The sequence below is a fragment of the Homo sapiens genome, chromosome 1, assembly GCF_000001405.40.
Source record: "Homo sapiens chromosome 1, GRCh38.p14 Primary Assembly".
NCBI classification, from domain to species: domain Eukaryota; kingdom Metazoa; phylum Chordata; class Mammalia; order Primates; family Hominidae; genus Homo; species Homo sapiens.
The window spans coordinates 166,970,042-166,988,646 of NC_000001.11; the positions used below are offsets into that span (position 1 = coordinate 166,970,042).

The window sequence follows — 18,605 nt, forward strand, 5'->3', positions numbered from 1 at the left end:
AAGGCATAAGAGTAAAAATAGTTGGAAGGGGTGAACAGGTAAGTCCCAGAACAAAAATTTGGGACTAGAAGGGACATTCTAGGACCAGATTGGCTGGAGTAAGATTCATCCCATCTCGTCCAAAGTACTTGCCTCACTTTACCAGTTCCCAATATGACCACATTTAATTGTTCAGAGTAGAACCTGTCCTGTCCAGCAACAGCTCCATTTGTTCTTCTGAAAATTTGAGGAAGAGCTCTTCCTTTCTACCTGTTTTTCATTCCAATCATTAATGGTTTGAGAAAGTCTGAAAAAAAATAAATAACTGGGTCTCCCTTGATGGCTCTTCCTGGGTAAATCATAAAAGGAATCATGTACCTGTCACTCTTTAGCTTTCATTTACAACTCATCAAATTTTAATGGGGAAAATTTCAGAACCCTAGAATCTTAGAGCTGAAGTTAACTTTAAAAATCACCTTGCTCAATATTTAAGACCAAGATCCAAACCCATGGTTATACAGTGATTTATGGAGGAGGTGGGACTAGAACCTAATCCTCAGCTCCCAGGTCAGGGCTCTTTCTACTTACGGTGTCCTGGTACTAATACTAACACTGAACTAAGCACTAGGTACTTGCACCGTAGTGCGAGTAGTGCAAGACTACTCATACTGATACTCAATTCTATATAAACTAGCCACCCAGAATACTCCTATGTCTAAAGTGTAAACAGTGATGAGGATATTCAAATAACTTCCCTCTCCTAGTCCAGAGAGAAGCATCCAGGCTGGGGGACAATGCCGAGCTGGGAGAGCTGTGCTAAAGTGACGAAAGAAGATGGACGAGGTACGTTCCACAGAGAAAAGTAGAACAGAGGAGGAAGAGAAATTGGAAGATATACAGGACAGGAAAAGAGATAACGGAAGTTGAGGTGTCAGCAGTCTCTAAAAGCGATTCTTCTTTCTCCAGGGCTAATAACATTTTAACTCTTTACACCCAAGCCTATCCTTCAGTCACCAGGTGTCTACCTGAACATGAAACCAGACCAACTAATGATCATTCCCTATACCTCCCTTCCCACTGCAGGCTGGGTTGGGGGCCCCTTCAAGGCACTCCAGAGTACAGATCTTTATCACTGCTTTTGCACAATGCTACTCCATAACTGGTGTCTCCACCACCAGACTGAGTACCTTAAAAGCAAGGACTATGACTTATTCATCTTTTCAACCCCAGCATAACTTCTGGGACATAGGAGTAAGTCACTCACTGACTATTCATGAACAAATATCTTAACTCAGCTATCACGTTTTCTGGGAATTTGTTTCAGAGCTGCTGCACCAGTCCTGGTTTGGGTTGAGTGTGCTTCCTCTATGCTCTCACAGCAGGGGTGTGGCTCTCATCAAAGGACCTTTAACTACCATGACAAAGTGACTGGAAAACTTGGTTTTTGGTTTTTGTTTTGAGACAAGGTCTCACTCTGTCACCCAGGCTGGAGTACAGTGGCACAATCTCAGCTCACTGCAGCCTCTACTTCCCTGACTCAAGCAATCCTCCCACTCAGGCCCTTGGGTAGCTGGGACTACAGGTGCAAGCCATCGTGCCCGGCTAATTTTTTTGTATTTTTTGTAGAGATGAGGTTTCACTGTGTTGTCCAGGTTGGTCTCAAACTCCTGGGCTCAAAGAGATCCACCTGCCTCAGCTTCCCAAAGTGCTGGGATTACAGGCATGAACAACTGTGCATAGCTGAAAACTTATTTGAATCACTGACTAGACTGACAACGCTTTGAGGGCAAGGACTATGTCTTTTAGTGCCTCATTCTCAGCACTTAGTATAATACTTAGAAATCACAGGAATTTAATATGTGCTTGTAGAATAGACAAACAAGTGAAATCAAAAGAAATGCTAATAAAGGGCCGGGCATGGTGGCTCACATCTGTAATCCCAGCACTTTGGAAGGCCAAGGAGGGCATATCACCTGGGGTTGGGAGTTTGAGACCCACGTAGCCAACATGGTGAAACCCCAACTCTACTAAAAATACAAAAATTAGCCAGGTGTGGTGGCGCGTGCCTATAATCCCAGCTACTTGGGAGGCTGAGGCACAAGAATTGCTTGAACCCAGGAGGCAGAGGTTGCAGTGAGCCGAGATGGTGCCAATGCACTCTGGCCTGGGTGACAGAGTGAGACTCTGTCTCTCAAAAAAAAAAAAGAAAAGAAAAAGAAATGCTAATTCATCAAGCAATCTTTGTCATAGAGATACCCAAAGAAGCCTCCAGGAAAACACATCGCTTGCTCCAGGAGTGTGTTCCCAGAGTGTCGACACAGCTCCAGCGTTTCTCACAGCCTCTGCTGCCAGGAAAGGATAAAACACCACCCATATTCAGGAACAAAGACAGAGTGAACCCTCCTTCAAGTCTTATTGCTAGATGGCACCTGTTGCTAAAATAGCAGCTGGTAAGCATTTTGTTTTGTTCAAAATAACAACAACAACAGCAACAATAACAAAACCAATATATTACAGGAAGCAACATCACAATGGCAATAAGGAATCACAAGGCTAAATATATAACAGGAAGACATACAGAATTTTAGTAATGAAAGACAAGGAAGAAGCTGCTAGAGCCTGGAGGAAAAAACTGAAGTGCTGATTAGAAATCGCTCAGCTTGCATTAAAAAAGAGAAACAGGAGGAGAAGGGAGAGGAGGAGAAATAGAGAGGGAGTGGGAGAGAGATGGTGGGGAGAGAAAGGGAGGGAGAGGAAGAATGAATGTGGTTTTTTTCCTGGCTCTCTGTCTCATTTTTAATCTGTTCTTCCCTGTCTCCCTTCCTTTCTACCACCCCCTCAAAAGAGAATTCATTGATTGGGCTGGACTAAAATTTCTCACCTTTCGTCTCATGGTTCTCTGTGAAGAATGAGTCTGAATTCATCTCCTCCTTGTCTGCTTCTGTCTCCTCCCTCCCCTCCCCAGCCGCCATTGTTTGCTCCTCTACTTTGCTGAGGCTGAGAGGCAGCTTGTCTGTCCACACCTCTGACAGCAGTGATGGGATGAGGAGAAAGCAGGAGCAGGGAGCAGAGGATGATCAATGGGATCCCAGGAGTCAGTCTCACTTTTGGAGCAAAGAATCCCCAGCCATCTGACAGCTGAGCTGGTCCTGATAACTAACCTGTTGCCTGATTCCAAGCAGAACAGCCTCTCCAGGTGCAGGTGGCAGAAGGCACAGACAAAGCCATCACCTCCCTCAAAACAAAAATAAAACAAAAAGCCCTCCAGCAAAAAGCCCAGAGAGGCAGCTTAGGAGAGGGCAAATGAGACTGGTCTGGAGTTTGAGAGAACTGGAATCTAGTCCCTAATCAATCATGAACGTGCTATGTGCATATTGCCTCTCTAGGACTCCATCTCTATAAACTGAGAGGGCTGAACTACAGTTCCTGTAGTACCCTCCAGTGATATGATTCCATTTCATAAAAAGCTGTGAGCCATCTAAAGAGAGCTCTATGTTTCCCTTCTTCTCTCACTCCCTGCAAACCCCCAGAGTACTTCTTTTAGGCAGACCCCAGCGTGTCTGTAAAGAGCACCTCTGACTCAGGGACCCCTCCCCCCCCCCCCCGATGCCTGGCTGACTTCAGTGCTGTTGTGATACAGGCTCAAGGACTAAGTGCCCTGAGAATATTGATAACCGAGAGTAGAGGCAGATTAAGGATGTGAAGAATCAGTGAGGGTGGGAGTGGAAGGCACTGGGAGGCCAGGGGAGCGGGGTGGCATGGATCAGCCAAACCCTGAAATTAGAGATGATTCATATCTGAATAATGTGGGAGGGATGAACTCAAAGCAGCCAAAAGAAGAGGCTAACTCTGCTGAGGATGCCTCCCCCAGCCTAAACCCAGCAGTGGGGCAACGGCAATGTTAGGGGCATTTCATTTGAAATGGGAAAAATATTTAGGCAATGAAGAATCTTATTCTGAAGCTAAGGGAAATGGGGTATTTGCCTTTTCTTGCTAAATGTATTTTACCCCCTTTACATGACTTGTTTTAGCTATTTTAAGCTTGTTCCCCTTTGCCTAGTGCCTTGATTTTGTCCAGATCTTCTGGCTGGTGATGCTAGAGGTGACAAAACTTCTCATGTGGTACTATTGTCCCTTTTCTCTCCTGCCTTCCACCCCCATCCTGTCCTCACCTTTCTGATCCCTTTTTCCATTTCTTCCATCATTCTGCCTCCACCTTGATTTGAATGGTTGCCTCTGACCCAGTCCAAGCTATCCAGACATTCCTCACCCCCATCCTACTCCCTTCAGCAGGGCTGCTTTGTGAATCTCTCAGGGCTGGCCACCCCAAGGCCCTGTATCCCTATGGGAATCGGAATCCTCATGTGGGGAAATAGGTTAAGAACAAGAGCATCTACTGACCCCAGCAGAATGGGGAGAAAGTTCACCAAAAAGGAGGGGAGGGCACAGAGGACCCAGCTAGACCAGTGACTTTGATGCTGGGGAGAAGCCCAATGCCTCTAAATCTCTCTGCAAATTATCTTTTAGGGAGCGGAGAGTGCACCTATTAGAAAGGCTCTTCTGCTTTCTAATTATCATTTGGGACCACTCCCCAAATGATACCAAGTAAGAGAGAGCCAGGCTCTAAACTCCACAACCAGTGAAGGTTCCATCCCCATCTTCTTCCCAACCTCCAGTTCCTTGCACCCTCCAGAGAGCCACAGAGAGAATGCCCTGGGTCCCCCTCCTTCTCTAGGGAAGAAATTAAGGAGACAGTCCTCTAGCCTCCACCTCCAGAAAACCAGTTCATTTAATTAATCAGCTCCCTCTGAGCTTCCTTTATTCCAGCCAGGCTTTTCACAAGACTCACAGCATTACAAACTCAGGATAAGACCGAAGGAGAACCGTTTTATGGAGGGGAAATGCATTCGAAAGAACAACCTCAGCGCCAATGAGTCAAACACCTGCATCTAGATGCGTCTCACTTGTCATTGGGCTTCTCCCCCGCCGCCCCCATCATTCTCTCTCTCTCTCTCTCACACACACACACACAAACACATACACAAACACACACGTTGCCCCCTCCCCCACTTTCCACCAGACCGCTAAGCAGCTTTAAACATGGTCAGTAAGGAGGAAAATGGGGGGGCGGGGGGCGCGGTGAGAACAGAACCACTACAGGAATATACAAAGTTATTCGTTTCTGTTGAAAAGGACTCTTACCTGTTAGCCAGAAGAGAGAAATCCACCTCAGCAAGACCCTATCCATCTTCCCCAACTTCCCAGCCGAATTACGGAGTGAGGAAAGTGGGAAATGGCTGGAACAGAAGGATCGCTGTCACCCCGCGGCAGCGGGCGGCGGCGGAGCGGCGGGCACCGGGCGTCCCTGGGCGCAGCGCCCGCCGGGCCGGCCGCGCAGGCGGGGCCGGGGGCTGGATCGCGCCGCCGGCTGAGCGCGCGCTGCCGCGGGCTTCCGGGGTCCGCGCAGCGCTCGGCGGCGCATCCGCATGCCCAGGCAGCGCGGCACGGGGCGAGCGTCTCCCCGCCGCAGAGCCCGCCGCGCGGGGGAGCTCGGCCGCCGCACCGCCTCCCGCGCCTCCGCCCCGCCGCCCGCTGCCGCGACTGCCAAAGTTTCTCGGTCACGTGCTGGCCCCCGGCGGCCCAAAGGTCAGCGTGGAGTGATTGAGGCCACGCGGAGAGAGGGGGTCTCTGGGTGGCAGGCAGCGAGAGGCGCGGGGGAGGCCGCCCCGCGGGCCGCGCCGAGCGGGGAGCGACCATCGCGGCTTCTCCCAGGGACGCCCGCGCTCGGGAACCCGGGCGAGAACGCTGGCTGGGGACTCGAGCAGGGGAGCCTGTGTCTGCGGGCAGCCACAGCCAACCTGAACGGGGAGAGAGTGACAGCGGCGAGGGTGGGGGACGGCGGGGACTTGGCGTAACTTCTTACAGGACTTAACTAGCAAGTCCTCTAGGCTAGAATGTTCGCTTCTGCGGTACCCCCGCCCCTCCGTCTGGTTTCCTTTTTGACAGTGCAAGGAACCAGGCAAGAGGCTCCGCAGAATTGAAAAAGGTAGGCGGGAATCTCGCGTCATTACTTTTTCCTGTTAAAATATGAGGTAGAATAAGGGCATCCGGCCCTTTAACAGAAAATATGTAAAACCAGAATGAGATAAATGATTATAACGGCTTAAATCCATCCAACACTTTATAGATTCCAGCACGCATTCACATGGATTATTCCTATTTGTCAGACGGATTTGTCTTGTGTCTCAAAATGTATGTGTTGAGAGAGAACTGAGAAATGTATGATTTGCTTAAGAAATATATTTATGAAGCCTCTACTAGGTGCTAAGAACTAAGGTTACAAAGTGGAATGAGATAGACTTCCTGCCCTTAGGAGCCTCATCTTGGGTCGAGGAAAGGGAGGAAGGTCAGACCATTAAAGACATGATACTTATTCCTAGTAAAACGGGGCAAGTGCAATAATGGAGACATAGAGAAAGTGCCTTGGGAACATAGAGGAAGGACTAAGTTAGTCGTGGGTGGGGAGGGGGCACCACGATAAAGGAGGGGTAACATCTGAGCTGGCATTTGCAGAAAGCACAAGATTTGAGCCATTCAAGGATCCCTGGTGGAAAGGGGGCAGGCGAGGGCATTCTGGGCAGAGGAAAGAGACATAGCAGAAAGGTCTCAAGTAGCATCTGAAAACAGAGTGGTGCCAGGCTGGAGGGGAGTTCCTGGAGCAGACAGACTCCACACCTAAGAGTGAATGTGTACACAGACAGGGAGAATATGTATGTGAACATGTGAGAAATGGGAAGAATAGACCCTGGGCAGCTGTCTTTTATGGCTGCCTGACATCTCAATTCCCTTCTTATTCTGAGAAATTCCAACTGCAGAAGCCAGAAAGTCTAGAGCCACCTCCCTGACCATCCCAGCTGGAATGCAGGCCCGGGCCCCTGGCATAGCCAGGCTGACCTCTCCCTCAGAGCTTTTTGATTCTGGAGCAAGTGGTGGATATAAGAAACAAGGACAGTGGAGAATTGATTTTGTCACTGAGGCAGCAGCAGCATCCAGTGTACATGATCAGCTGTGGCAGAGGTCAAGCCACCAGGATGCTCCAAGGTGTGATTTTTGGCTGTGGTCTTGCAGGCTCTCTGGGTTCTAGCCTCTCTTCTACACTTGGCTCTTCACTTCCCCAGCAATTCTTTGAGCCACCCAATATCCTTTCATAAACTCTTTCTTTGCTTATTTTGGCCAGGATGATTTTTTCATGCTATGTACTGCATGAGAGAAATTTGAGGACTATTTCCTTTCATATACAGAAAAATAAAAATATAGGAGGTACCTAACACTTGTGGGTTTCCTTTAGGTTCTAGGCAGAGTTCTACATGTTTAACAAACCTTCTCATTTAACCCTAAAGAGGGAACTTAGGCCCAGAGCATTTAACTAACTTCTCTAAGATCAGGCAACTAGTAAGTGGCAGAGCTAGGATTTGAATCTGACTCTAAAGCATATACTGTTTGCACCACAAAAAGAACATCTACACCAGAAGATTGAGATGATATATTTGTATTATGCTGTGCCATTTACTGCATCTATGTGTGTGTGTCACAGTGCACAAAAGAGCTTGAATAGTGTTTATTATCTAAGCACACATAACAGTGGCATTTTGGCCAGGTGCAGTGGCTCACACCTGTAATCTCAGCACTTCGGGAAGCTGAGGTGGGCGGATTGCTTGAGCTCAGGAATTTGACCAGCCTGAGTAACATGGTGAAACCCCATCTCTACAAAAAATACAAAAATTGCCAGGCGTGGTTGTACATACCTGTAGTCCCAGCTACTCTGGAGGCTAAGATGGGAGGACCACTTGAACCTGGGAGGTTGAGGCTGCAGTGAGCTGTGACCACGCTACTGGACTCCAGCCTGGGTGACAGAGTGAGACCCTGTCTCAAAAAAAATGGCATTTTATGCAAAACTTGGACATATGAGCAAGTTTATACATGTGAAAAATGGGAGATGGACTGAGTGAAGGAAGCCTGGATGTGTATATGAAGTGGAACGTGAATGCCCACAGAAATGAACTCATGTCTGCTCAGAGGAGGTGTCTGTGTAGTTGAATCAGGAGACTTGGAGAAGAGCTTGTGCCACAATGAATCATAGAATGCAGTTGCCTTGTCCATCATCCCAGAAATGTGTTTTCCATGTAGTGCCCTGCATGTCTACTTTATAGCCAGAGAGGTACACATGGTGTATCCTGAATCTTCCTGAGTGAGTGGCGCCCAGGCCATCCTGAAGGGGATGCTAAACTGGAGTGAATCACAATGTGTGCCCCTCCATCACCTTGCACATGTTGTTACCAAGGTGATGAAGGGTTAATATAAATTTTGAAATATATGTAATGATTCAAAACATGTAGCCTAAGGGATGGAGGTGGAAAGAGGATGGGAAAATGGTGTTATTTTGCCATATTGGTGGTGGGTGATGGGATATGGCACCCAGAGTCCCAATGTGGTTTCTGAACTTCCAGTATCAGGATCATATTACTGTGTTTGCTTAAACACAGATTCACAGGCTCTACTAAGAATAATGAGCTCAGAAACTCCAGGTGGAGCCCATAAATCTGCAGTTTAACCACTTTCCCCAGGTGCTTCCAATGCACAGTAATGTTTAAGAAGCAATACCTATCTTTTTGTTCTCCTGAGAAGCTGTTGAGCTGATGTTTTCTAATGAGCCTTGTATCTGGTTAAGCTCCAGTTGTTCATTCATTCTGACCTAATAGGACAGGACCCCAAATAGAGAGATTGATTCATCACAGCCAAGGAAGGGGTCTGGCTCTGCAATACTTCAAACTTTCTACTGCAATGAGACAAACATGTCACAACAATGACCTGTATGGGACCAGAACAAGATTCCCAGGAAGCCACAGCTGGGATTGTATGTGGTGGGGGGACTAACAGGCTGCTTCAGCAAAGCTCTACACTAGAGAACAGAATTAGGACACAGAGAAAAGAGAAGTGAACCACCACAAGGAGACATACTGGTAGCTGGTAGCAACCACATAGTTATAAATATAATGTAGCTGAATCCTCTTTAAAACATGATTTCATTGCAGACACACAGGCATGCATGCACATGAATACTGCTTAACGTGAGTCTGTTTAAAGCACACAGATAAAATCATATTTCTACTTCTCCTCTCTGATCCTGCATTCCAAGAGGAATATACGAAGTATGACTCTGAAACAGATACCATTTTTCTCATGTAAGTTTGGTCCATCTTTTTTTTTCTCTTGCTACCTTTTGGGTTTGTTATCTTTCCCATCCTCCATACCTTCAAAACCATCCTCAATGAATTATAAGTTAAAAAAAAAACTAAATTAAACCAAGGAACTAAAAAAACTGGAACCCAGAAAACCAAGGAACTAAAAAAACTGGAGACTCTAGGCACCGTATACTGAAAACCAAAAACATTTTCAATCTTGAAGTCTTTTCATGTTGAATAAATTGTTTGATTAAGAAAATGCTTTAAAGAAAGGAAATGCAAGTATACAAATGCATTATGCCAAAACAAAACAAAACAAAATCTGAACTGGCAAGAACAGTGGACACTAGACACCACACTATCTAGAAATTTAAAAAGGTAAAAGCCTGGGAGAATGTGTTGAAAATTCCATGTACTTCCAGCAGATTTAATCCAAGAACCTGCAGTCTCAGGCTTCAAATCCAACTGCAGTGGTGCTGGGTGCTGAATTAGGTGATGCTTTGTGTGCCCCATCCTAAAGCTAGATCCTGCTCAACAGTGGGGGCAGCCCTTGCCTGAATTAGCTCTCTACCAAAGCATTCCCTAAAAAGGTCCATCCAAGGATAATGTGCAGAAAAAAAGAACATAAAAGTATATTTAGAGCTTGGTATCAAATATGAAAAAATACATTTAAAAGGGACAAAGGAAATAAATGAGTAACAATGGTTATCTCTGGGAAGATCATCATTCATTTATATTTTTTCTTTATAATTGTCTTTCTTTCTTTCTTTTAGAGACAGGGTCTGACTCTGTCACCCAGACTGGACTGCAATGGTGCCATCGTAGCTCACTGCAACCTTGAACTCCTAGGCTCAATGCTATCCTCCTGCCTCAGCTTCCCAAGTAGCTGGGACTGCAAGTGCATGCCACCATGCCCAGCTAATTTTTAATTTGTATTTTTTTTTTTAGAGACTGCATCTTGCTATGTTGCCCAGTCTGGTCTCAAACTCCTGGCCTCAAGCAATCCTCCAACCTCAGCCTCCCAAAGTGCTGGGATTACAAGTTTGAGCCACTGTGCCCAGCCTATAATTTTCTATACCCTCTAATATTTCTATAATATAGGAAAAGGTGCTGGACAAAAGCTGTGCCCATGCCAAAATTTACTCATTGTGAATTTGTCCTCCAGTCTCTAGGACATCCCTGCAGAAAGGAGAGAAGCAAGGAGAAGGAGTGACAGGTGTTTTGTCAGGCCTGTATCTTCAGCCAGATACAAAGCCCCCACATGTACACCTGCTCTCATTATGTCTCATTCGTGAGCAGTTAATCAAGTTAATTATGAGCAGTTGAGCCCTGGGAGCTTTTACTGACAGTGCAACCTATAATTTCTCTGAAAGTTACAGAGCCAGAGATGAAGGTTACTGCTCTTTTAGGAGCCCTGTCTCCAGTTTTTGCTTTTGTTTCTGTTTTTATTTCATGGTTAGCATCCTTTGGAGACCAGAAGAGCATTGACAGCCCCCCAGATGAGCAGCAGAGCAATTCTTATACTAGTGGTCAAGCAGCTTCCTACAGCCAAAAGGCTATAGGAAGAAAGGGTAACTGGCTGCCCTACAGTTTACACGATGAAGCTGCCTTGGGCTCTGGGTCTTGGTGATTTAGCCAGAAGATTGTTTCTCAGAGCTCAGCCCTACACATTCTCCTAAAGGCCTTCTTCCTGGCATAGGTCAAAGACAGAACCTGAGAGAGGGAAATGAGCCAGAACAAATATGTCATCTGATGACCTCACCCCCAGCAAATGGGCAGGGAAGAGAGCTAGAATGAGAAGGCCAGAACATGGAGCACCATGAAAAGAAACTGCTCAAGCAAGAGAAGTGGCATGTGGGCTTTAAAGACCAGGGTTAGAAAACAGCAGCCCTGACCTTTGTGTTGAAGTAGCGGGGCGAGGATCTCTCATAGAAGTGTTAATTCTGTACTCCTTCCCCAATTCTGAGTAGGTGCCTTTTACATAGAGATGATCAATGTGTACTTGTCTAATTAATTACAAACTGCCCCCAGTGTATTCATCTTACCTTTTCGTCATCTCTCCTTTTCTTTTCCCTGAATTCATTCATTTATTCCACACATTTATTGAATACTTACTATATTCTAGACACTATGCTATCTAGAAATTAAAAACGAATATGAATTCAAAGATGAATGAATCACAGCCCCTTATGTCAAATAGCTTACATTTGAGTTGTCTCCATGTGTGTAGAGAGGGAGGGAGGGAGGCAAATATGTGGTCTTTATGATGGTGTGACAGGGCCTGTATTAGGACATGTACCAAATATGGTAGGAAAATTAAGTGGGGGAGGGTCAATTAGTTATCAGTAGTCCTGGTCAGAGATATCTTCATGAAAAGGTGACCCCTGAGCTAAGCTTTAACATCATCTGGACAGAATTTCTAGGGGCAGAAAGGGAGCAGGAGGTAGTACAGATGCACAAGCAATAGGCAGAGGTGAGAATAGGAACTGCTGCCCAGAGCATAGGTTTACAAAAGGCAGAGTCAGCAATAAGGCTGGAAAGGTAGGCTGAGGTTGAACCAAGGGAAACCAGGATAGCAGATTTGGATGTAATTCCACCGGCAATGTACCATCCATGAGAATTTCTAAGTAGAACAAGATCAGACCTGTGTCCCAACCAAGTTATTCTGGCCACAGGGTGTAGGATGAATTGATGGAGACAGAGACAACAGATTGAGGTCTCTTCCATGGGAGAGCTCATTACAAGAGCTCAAGAAGTAACAAGCACCTAACAAGGGGCAGCACGAAGAGAATGCTAACATCAATTGAGAAAGACATTGCAAGGAGTCACAAGAGGTAGAATTCACATGTATATTGCAAGCAGGAGGAATCAACCAGACATCAGGTTGAGTTACTAAAGATCTGAGAGCACATTCAAACAATGTCTAGATGGTACTCAGAAATTTATCACTTAACTTTGGCAAAGCATCAGGTAATAACCTTGAACATCTAAGATAAACAGATTGGAATGAGTGTTAACTTGGGATCTCATAGATGTCAAAGTCACTCAAAGGCTGTGTGGCATGTGGAAGTCACTTCACCACTCTAAGCCTCAATTTCCTTTTCTGCAATATGTGGATAATCATGGAATCTATTTCATAGGGTTGTTGTGAAGGGGAGATAAGATAACCCTTGTGGAGTGTTTAGCAGAAAGCTGGATGTAGCTTGCAATGAATGTCACCTATTATTACTACTATTATTATTATTAGCACAGGAGGGAAGATGCACGCTGAATAATGTTGGCCTTCACTTAAACTACCATCAGGAAAAAACTCAGCCACATTTTCCAAGAACACTTGTGGTGCTCTTCAGTGGTTTGCATAACACGTACCTGGTTGAAAATCACACCTTATACTTAATTAAAAAAAAAAGTAATAGTCATCCAAATCTCCAGTGGTTTCCCCCAATTTAGACAAAAATCTAAAGTCCTTATGGAGGCCCTGTAAATCCTGTATGATCTGGCCCTACCTCCCTCTCTAATATTCTCTCTACTTTCCCCCTCACTCACTTTACTCCAGCCATGTGACTTACTTTGCTTTTCCTCAAACATACCTGATATGCTCCCACCTCAGAGCTTTTGCACTTGCTATTCTTTCTGCCTGGAATGCTCTTCTCCAGATATCTTCATGGTTTGCTTGCTCTCTTCCTTCTAGTCGTTGCTCAAATTTCATTTCTTCATATAGGGCCTTTAATAACCACCCTAAAATTGTACCCTCTAACTGTTGCTATTCCCTTATCTTACATTATTTTTCTTCATTGGACTTATTGTCCAAAAAGATATTCTGACATCTTGTTATATACATAATAGTTTATTTATTTATTACCTGGGTTTTTTTCCACTATAAGCTTTTTTCTATTCAACCTATTGTGCTTAAAATAGAGGCTGGTATTCAGTGAGCTCTTAATAAATATCTATTGAATAAATGAACCACTTGCTACTGGAATCACTCCCCTCTCTTGGTTTTCCTGCCTTTCTTCCTACTTTTTCACATGTTCTTCTCAGTCATCTTTACTGGGTCTTCCTTCTCTGGCTTCTAAACGCTAGTGTTCCTCAGGACTCCATCCTGGATCCTTTTTTTCTCTCTCTTCACTCTCTCCTTAGATGATCTCATCTAGTTCATGAATTTAAATACCATCTTTATGTGGCTTACTTCTGGATTCTTTCTCAAGCCCAGAACTCCAGACTTACATGGTCAATTGCCTACTTGACATCTCCACTTGAATATATAGTAGGCATCTCAAAATGAACATGTCCATAATAGAACTCTTGATCCACCCCCTCCACATATTTCAACCCAAACCTGCCACCCTTTAGAATTTCTGAATAGAAAAAAATCAATCTGGTTGGAAAATGGGGAAAGCTGTTCTGTTTATGTAGGACTTAAGTAAAATAGAAAAAAAATCAATTTTATCAAAGAAGGAGAGGAGCAGTGGCTCACACCTGTAATCCCAGCACTTTGAGAGGCTGAGACAGGCAGATCACTTGAGCCCAGAAGTATGAGACCAGTCTGGGCAACATGGCAAAACCCCGTCTCTACAAAAAATACAAAAATTAGCTGGGCATGGTGGCGCACACCTGTAGTCCCAGCTACTCGGGAGGCTGAGGTGGGAGGATCACTTGAGCCCATGGGACTGAGGCTGCAGTTACCTGTGATTGCACCACTGCACTCGAACCTGGTTGACAGAATGAGATCCTGTCTCAAAAAAAAAAAAAAAAAATGGACCTATGAGGAGAGGAGCAGATAACAGAAATTATTGGGAGCTTTGGACCTTGGACCCTCCTTGGCATTAGCACTGTCTCCCTCTGCCCCAAAGTCCTCCCTATCTTAGTAAAAGCACTAAGTGCCCATGGGTTACTCAAGCCAAAATCCTAGGACTCCTCCTTTTTTCTTACTCCTACAACCAATCCATTAGCTAGTTCTATTTTTCCCAAAATACAATTTGAGCCCAGCCTTTCCTTTCTGTTCGAGGTTGCCATCATCACCCACATGGACTCCTGAAGGAGCCTTCTAACTGGTCTCACCATGCCCATTCTTAATGCTTTGAACCCTTTCTCCAAATAGAAAACATGACATGTTTTTTAAAAACCCTTAAATAGAGTAGATCTCAAGTGTTCTCACCACAAAAAAGTATAAGTATGTGAAGTACTGCATATGTTAAGTCATTCGATTTAGCCATTCCACAACATATACATATTTTGAAATATGTTGTACACAATAAATATATACTATTTGTATCTGTCAATTAAAAATAAATAAATAAATATAAAATAACCCCCCTAAATGAACAACAATTGTACTTAGAGCAATACTCGAACCCCTTACAATGGTCATGGTCAAGCCGAAATCCCTGTTGATCACTCCAACCTCAGCAGGCACCATTCTTCACCTGACTAGATACAGTACAGCAACACTAACTAGTCTTCCATCTGTTCTGAAGAGACACCCAATTCTTTATCACCTGAGGCTTTTACACATACTGTTCCCTCTGTCTAGAACTCTCTTCTTTCAATTCTTCACATGACTAGCTCTATTCCGTCCATCCTTTCCCATTATAAAAGCCACCTGCTCCTCATAGAGGTTTGCCCTGTTCACCCATCTAAATATTTGGTAGTTAAATCTAGATATGGTTTTAAAAATGTTAAACTATGAAAAAGCCATCTTGCCCAAGGTGGAGTAACAGGAAATGAATGTATCCAGTAGCTTGAAACAAAACTGCAATTACTTTTGCACCAACCTAATAAAAAAACTGGTCAAAATATATGAAACAATGTTTCCAAACACTAGACACTGGGGAGTAGAGATGAGTAACCCCTGAAAGAACCACAGCAAACAAGGTGAGCTCTGTGATTGCCACAGGTAGCTGCCTGGAGAGAGTACCGGAATGCAGTATCACAATGGGTTACCTAGGCAGAGCCCAGTGGAGTCTCCTTGAGTTGAGGAGATGGAGGTGGGTGTCAAGGTGCGCCACAGTGGATAGAGTTTGCAGGGCAGAGTACCAGAAACAAGGGAACAGCACAATCACCAAAAAAAAGGCTCTGGAGATATGGTAAGGATCTCCCTTGAAGCCTGAGCTGAATACTGATCAGTGCATGTGTGGGAAAAAACTACACAGAGCCAAAGAAAGAACAACCTGAAAGGATTACAAGTAACCATCCTTGGAATTCACATAGGACTAGAAATAGTTTATATTCCCATCAGCCAAAGTGGAATTTGGCTCCAAATTTTATGGAATATCAAGTACAGTACTCAGAAAGATGTTATATCAGTAGAGGAGAAAATTAGCCTTAAAGATTGCTCTGATCTCAAATAACAAAGCAGAAAAGTAAGCCTAAAAAGAGTGAAAACCAGACTCAAACTGTTTCCAAGTAACAGAACTGTGTCCCAAAACAAAGCCCAAAAATGTTTATAAGAATATAGAAATATGCAGCATTAAACAGGGTAAAATTTACAATGACCAGCATCCAATCAAATATTACCAAGCATACAAAAGAAGCAGGACAACATAATCCATAAGAAGAAAAATCAATCAGTAGAAACAGACCCAGAAATGAAACAGATAATACAATGAGTAGACAAGAATTAATGGTTATCATAATTATATTACATGTTGCAACTGTATTCCATGTTAAACAACGTAAAGGAAGGATAGACTATGTTAAGTAGAGATATGCTTAAAGATTTTTAGATTTTTTAAAACGACCCAATCAACTTCTAGAGATGAAAATAAACAATCTGATATGAAAAATACACTGGATGGAATTAATGCAGATTAGACATTACAGAATAAAGTATTACTAAACACAAAGACACCAATGGACACTATGCAAAATGAAACAGAGAAAAAAGACTGAAGGAAAAAAATGAAGAGAGCATCAGTAAACCATGGGCAACTTCAAGCAGTGTAAAGGAGTAGTGAGGAAACTTTAGGGGATGGATATGTTCATTATCTTGATGGCAGATGGTTTCACAGGTGTACACGTAAGTTTAAATTCAATAAATTATACACTTTAGATATATTGTGTTTATTATAGTTCAGTCATATCTAAATGTTGTTATAAAAAAAAGCAATGTGAAATTAAAATCCCAGATGATACCAACATGGGAGACAGAAGTGGGACGGTGGTGCGTGGAGTGAGAGAGTCTGAGTGGGAAGAAGTAATAATTTTCTAAGCTGCTTGTCTGTTTGGGAAGAGGGGATGTGAATACCTATTAGCTGTAAAAGTTGTGATAAAAATGTAAGTTTTAAAACAAGTACACTAAAATTTATGGGTAACAGCAGAATGAAGAAAAATAGAATGTATAACTTTAAAACCAGTGGAAGAGAAAGTACAGCAAAAAATAGTTATCAATCCAGCTCACGCAGAGAAGGGAAAAATTAGAAACATAATAAACAGGCAAGAAAATAAATTGAACAAAGCTTTTTATTCAAGAAACTAAAAAAAGAAACATAAAACAGCCTGAAGTAGAAAGAAGGAATTAATAAACTTAAGGCAGAAAAGTGTGAAAAGGCAAAGAAAAACTGTAAAGTGGATCAATAAAATCAAAAGTGTTTTTTAAAAGATCAATAAAATAAACAAAATTTGGCAAGTATTAAGGAAAAAATCTGGAAGGCATAAATAATTAGGAATGAAAAGGAAGGGGACGTGTGTGTGTGTGTGTGTGTGTGTGTGTGTGTGTGTTTAAAATTACAATCAACTGTTACATTTGTTTTTATGCCAATGTTTTTTAAAGTCAACTTTATTGACTTTAAAATGAAACACACCTATTTTAAGTCCATAGTTTGATGAATTTTGACAAATATATACTACTAATAGCCACCAACACCACAATTAAGGTAGAGAACATTTCTGACAACCCAGAAGGTTCCCTGTGTCAGTTCTCAATCTCCCCTCCCCACCTCCGGGCTCCAGGTAATGCTGATCTGATTTTTATAACTACAGTTTTACCTTTTCTCAAGTTCTGTATACATTGAATCACATCCTATGTATACTTTTATGTATGCCTTCTTTCACTCAACAAAATTTCAAAATTCATCCATGTCGAATATCAATAGCTCATTCCTTTTCATTCTTGAGTAGTAGTCTACTAAATGAATGTGCCACAATTTATCAGTTCACCTGTTGATGAACATTTGGGTTGTCCAGCTTGGAGCTCTTATGAATAGTGCTACTCTCAAAATTCATCTACAAGGCTTTGTGGATATATATTTTCATTTTCCTAGAAGAATGGAATTGCTGGGTCCTATGATAAGTATAAGAAACTGTCAACCAGTTGTCCCACCAATAATGTATGAAAGTTCCAGCTGCTTCAGATCCTTGCCATATTTTATACCAATACACTAGAAAAATCTAAATGAGATAGACACTTTTTCTAGGAAAATATAATTACAAAAATTAGGTGAATAAAACTAAGAAAACTGAGAAGACTAATAACCATACAAAAGATATTGAAATGGTAGTTAAAGGTGGACGCACCCTCCAAAGATGTAAAAGATCAGAGAGTTTTACTAATAAGCTCTACCAACCTGTCAAGGAATAGATAATTCCCATCTATTATTCTATCTGAACACAACCCTGATACCAATATTTGGTAAAGAAAATACCACAAAATCTATACAGTTCAATATTACTATAATCAAGGAAGCCAAAATTCTATATTATGTTTTTTAAAAAATAAGCAAAGCCTCATGATCAACAATAGTTTATACTAAGAATGGTAGGCTGCATCGTTAGAAAACTAGCAATATTCTTTATGTTAACAAATTAGGCCAGGTTCAGTGGTTTACGCCTGTAATCCCAGCACTCTGGGAGGCCTAGGCAGGCAGATCCTCGAGCCCAGAAGTGTGAGACCAGCCTGGGCAACATAGGGAGACCTCGTCTCTACAAAAAACAGAAAAATCACCAGGGCCTGGTGGTGTGCACCTGTAGCCCCAACTACTCGGGGGGCTGAGATGGGAGGTCCTACTTGAGCCCAGGAGGTCTAGGCTGCAGTGAGCCGGGATCGTGCCACTGCACTCCAGCCTGGGTGACAGACTGAGACCCTGTCTAAAAAAAAAAAAAAAAAAAAAAAAATTTAAAAGATAAAACCGTGTGATTACCTGAAAAGATCCAGAAATTTAGCAAATTTTCAACTGCCATTCTTGATTTTAAAACATATACATACCCCATATATACATACACTTAGAAAGCTGACCCGAGAAAGGAATTTTCTCTGGGAAACGTAATTAGAAAACCGAGAGAACCAACTAGCACGATGTAAACTAGTATAAGAGATCAGCAGTGTGACTATATACACAGGACCAACACTAAAATCAATACCTTCTCTAGACATCAGTAGTAATCAAT

General features: G+C 43.2%; 2 protein-coding genes and 1 long non-coding RNA gene across 20 annotated transcripts in view, besides 4 other annotated features; 2 read left to right on the forward strand and 1 right to left on the reverse strand.

Moving 5' to 3' along the window:
- LOC124904449 (uncharacterized) overlaps positions 1-3,007 on the forward strand; it is a 45,878-nt gene extending 42,871 nt beyond the window's left edge. The window contains exons 3-5 of one of the 2 annotated variants that reach the window (XR_007066715.1): positions 744-822; positions 2,230-2,429; positions 2,945-3,007. This is a non-coding gene — a long non-coding RNA (uncharacterized LOC124904449). Of the gene's footprint in view, positions 1-743; positions 823-2,229; positions 2,707-2,944 lie in introns of those variants that run through there. The other variant, XR_007066714.1, reaches the window with a different exon arrangement.
- Positions 1-5,499, reverse strand: part of ILDR2 (immunoglobulin like domain containing receptor 2) — a 79,845-nt gene extending 74,346 nt beyond the window's left edge. For 7 of the 15 annotated variants that reach the window (NR_199384.1, NM_001438641.1, NM_001438643.1 and 4 more), the window contains exon 1: positions 5,182-5,499. Coding sequence is in view for 13 of the 15 variants with exons in the window: in NM_001438641.1 (NP_001425570.1) it covers positions 5,182-5,227 (46 nt within the window). In the remaining 2 variants the exon portion in view is untranslated. Of the gene's footprint in view, positions 1-2,860 lie in introns of all 15 variants that reach the window. The other 8 variants (XM_017001256.2, XM_017001254.2, XM_017001257.2 and 5 more) reach the window with 4 other exon arrangements.
- Positions 696-765: an enhancer, noted in NCBI's record as "active region_2030". NCBI's record gives its function as "activates an Ori minimal core promoter by ATAC-STARR-seq in GM12878 lymphoblastoid cells {active_cell/tissue: GM12878}" and the evidence as "EXISTENCE:reporter gene assay evidence [ECO:0000049][PMID:35858748]".
- Positions 5,349-5,398: a silencer, noted in NCBI's record as "silent region_1516". NCBI's record gives its function as "represses an Ori minimal core promoter by ATAC-STARR-seq in GM12878 lymphoblastoid cells {active_cell/tissue: GM12878}" and the evidence as "EXISTENCE:reporter gene assay evidence [ECO:0000049][PMID:35858748]".
- Positions 5,459-5,748: a silencer, noted in NCBI's record as "silent region_1517". NCBI's record gives its function as "represses an Ori minimal core promoter by ATAC-STARR-seq in GM12878 lymphoblastoid cells {active_cell/tissue: GM12878}" and the evidence as "EXISTENCE:reporter gene assay evidence [ECO:0000049][PMID:35858748]".
- Positions 5,541-18,605, forward strand: part of MAEL (maelstrom spermatogenic transposon silencer) — a 46,633-nt gene continuing 33,568 nt past the window's right edge. For 2 of the 3 annotated variants that reach the window (NM_001286378.2, XM_011510068.2), the window contains exon 1: positions 5,541-5,625. Coding sequence is in view for 1 of the 3 variants with exons in the window: in XM_006711583.2 (XP_006711646.1) it covers positions 15,305-15,307 (3 nt within the window). In the remaining 2 variants the exon portion in view is untranslated. Of the gene's footprint in view, positions 5,626-15,175; positions 15,308-18,605 lie in introns of those variants that run through there. The other variant, XM_006711583.2, reaches the window with a different exon arrangement.
- Positions 5,869-5,918: a silencer, noted in NCBI's record as "silent region_1518". NCBI's record gives its function as "represses an Ori minimal core promoter by ATAC-STARR-seq in GM12878 lymphoblastoid cells {active_cell/tissue: GM12878}" and the evidence as "EXISTENCE:reporter gene assay evidence [ECO:0000049][PMID:35858748]".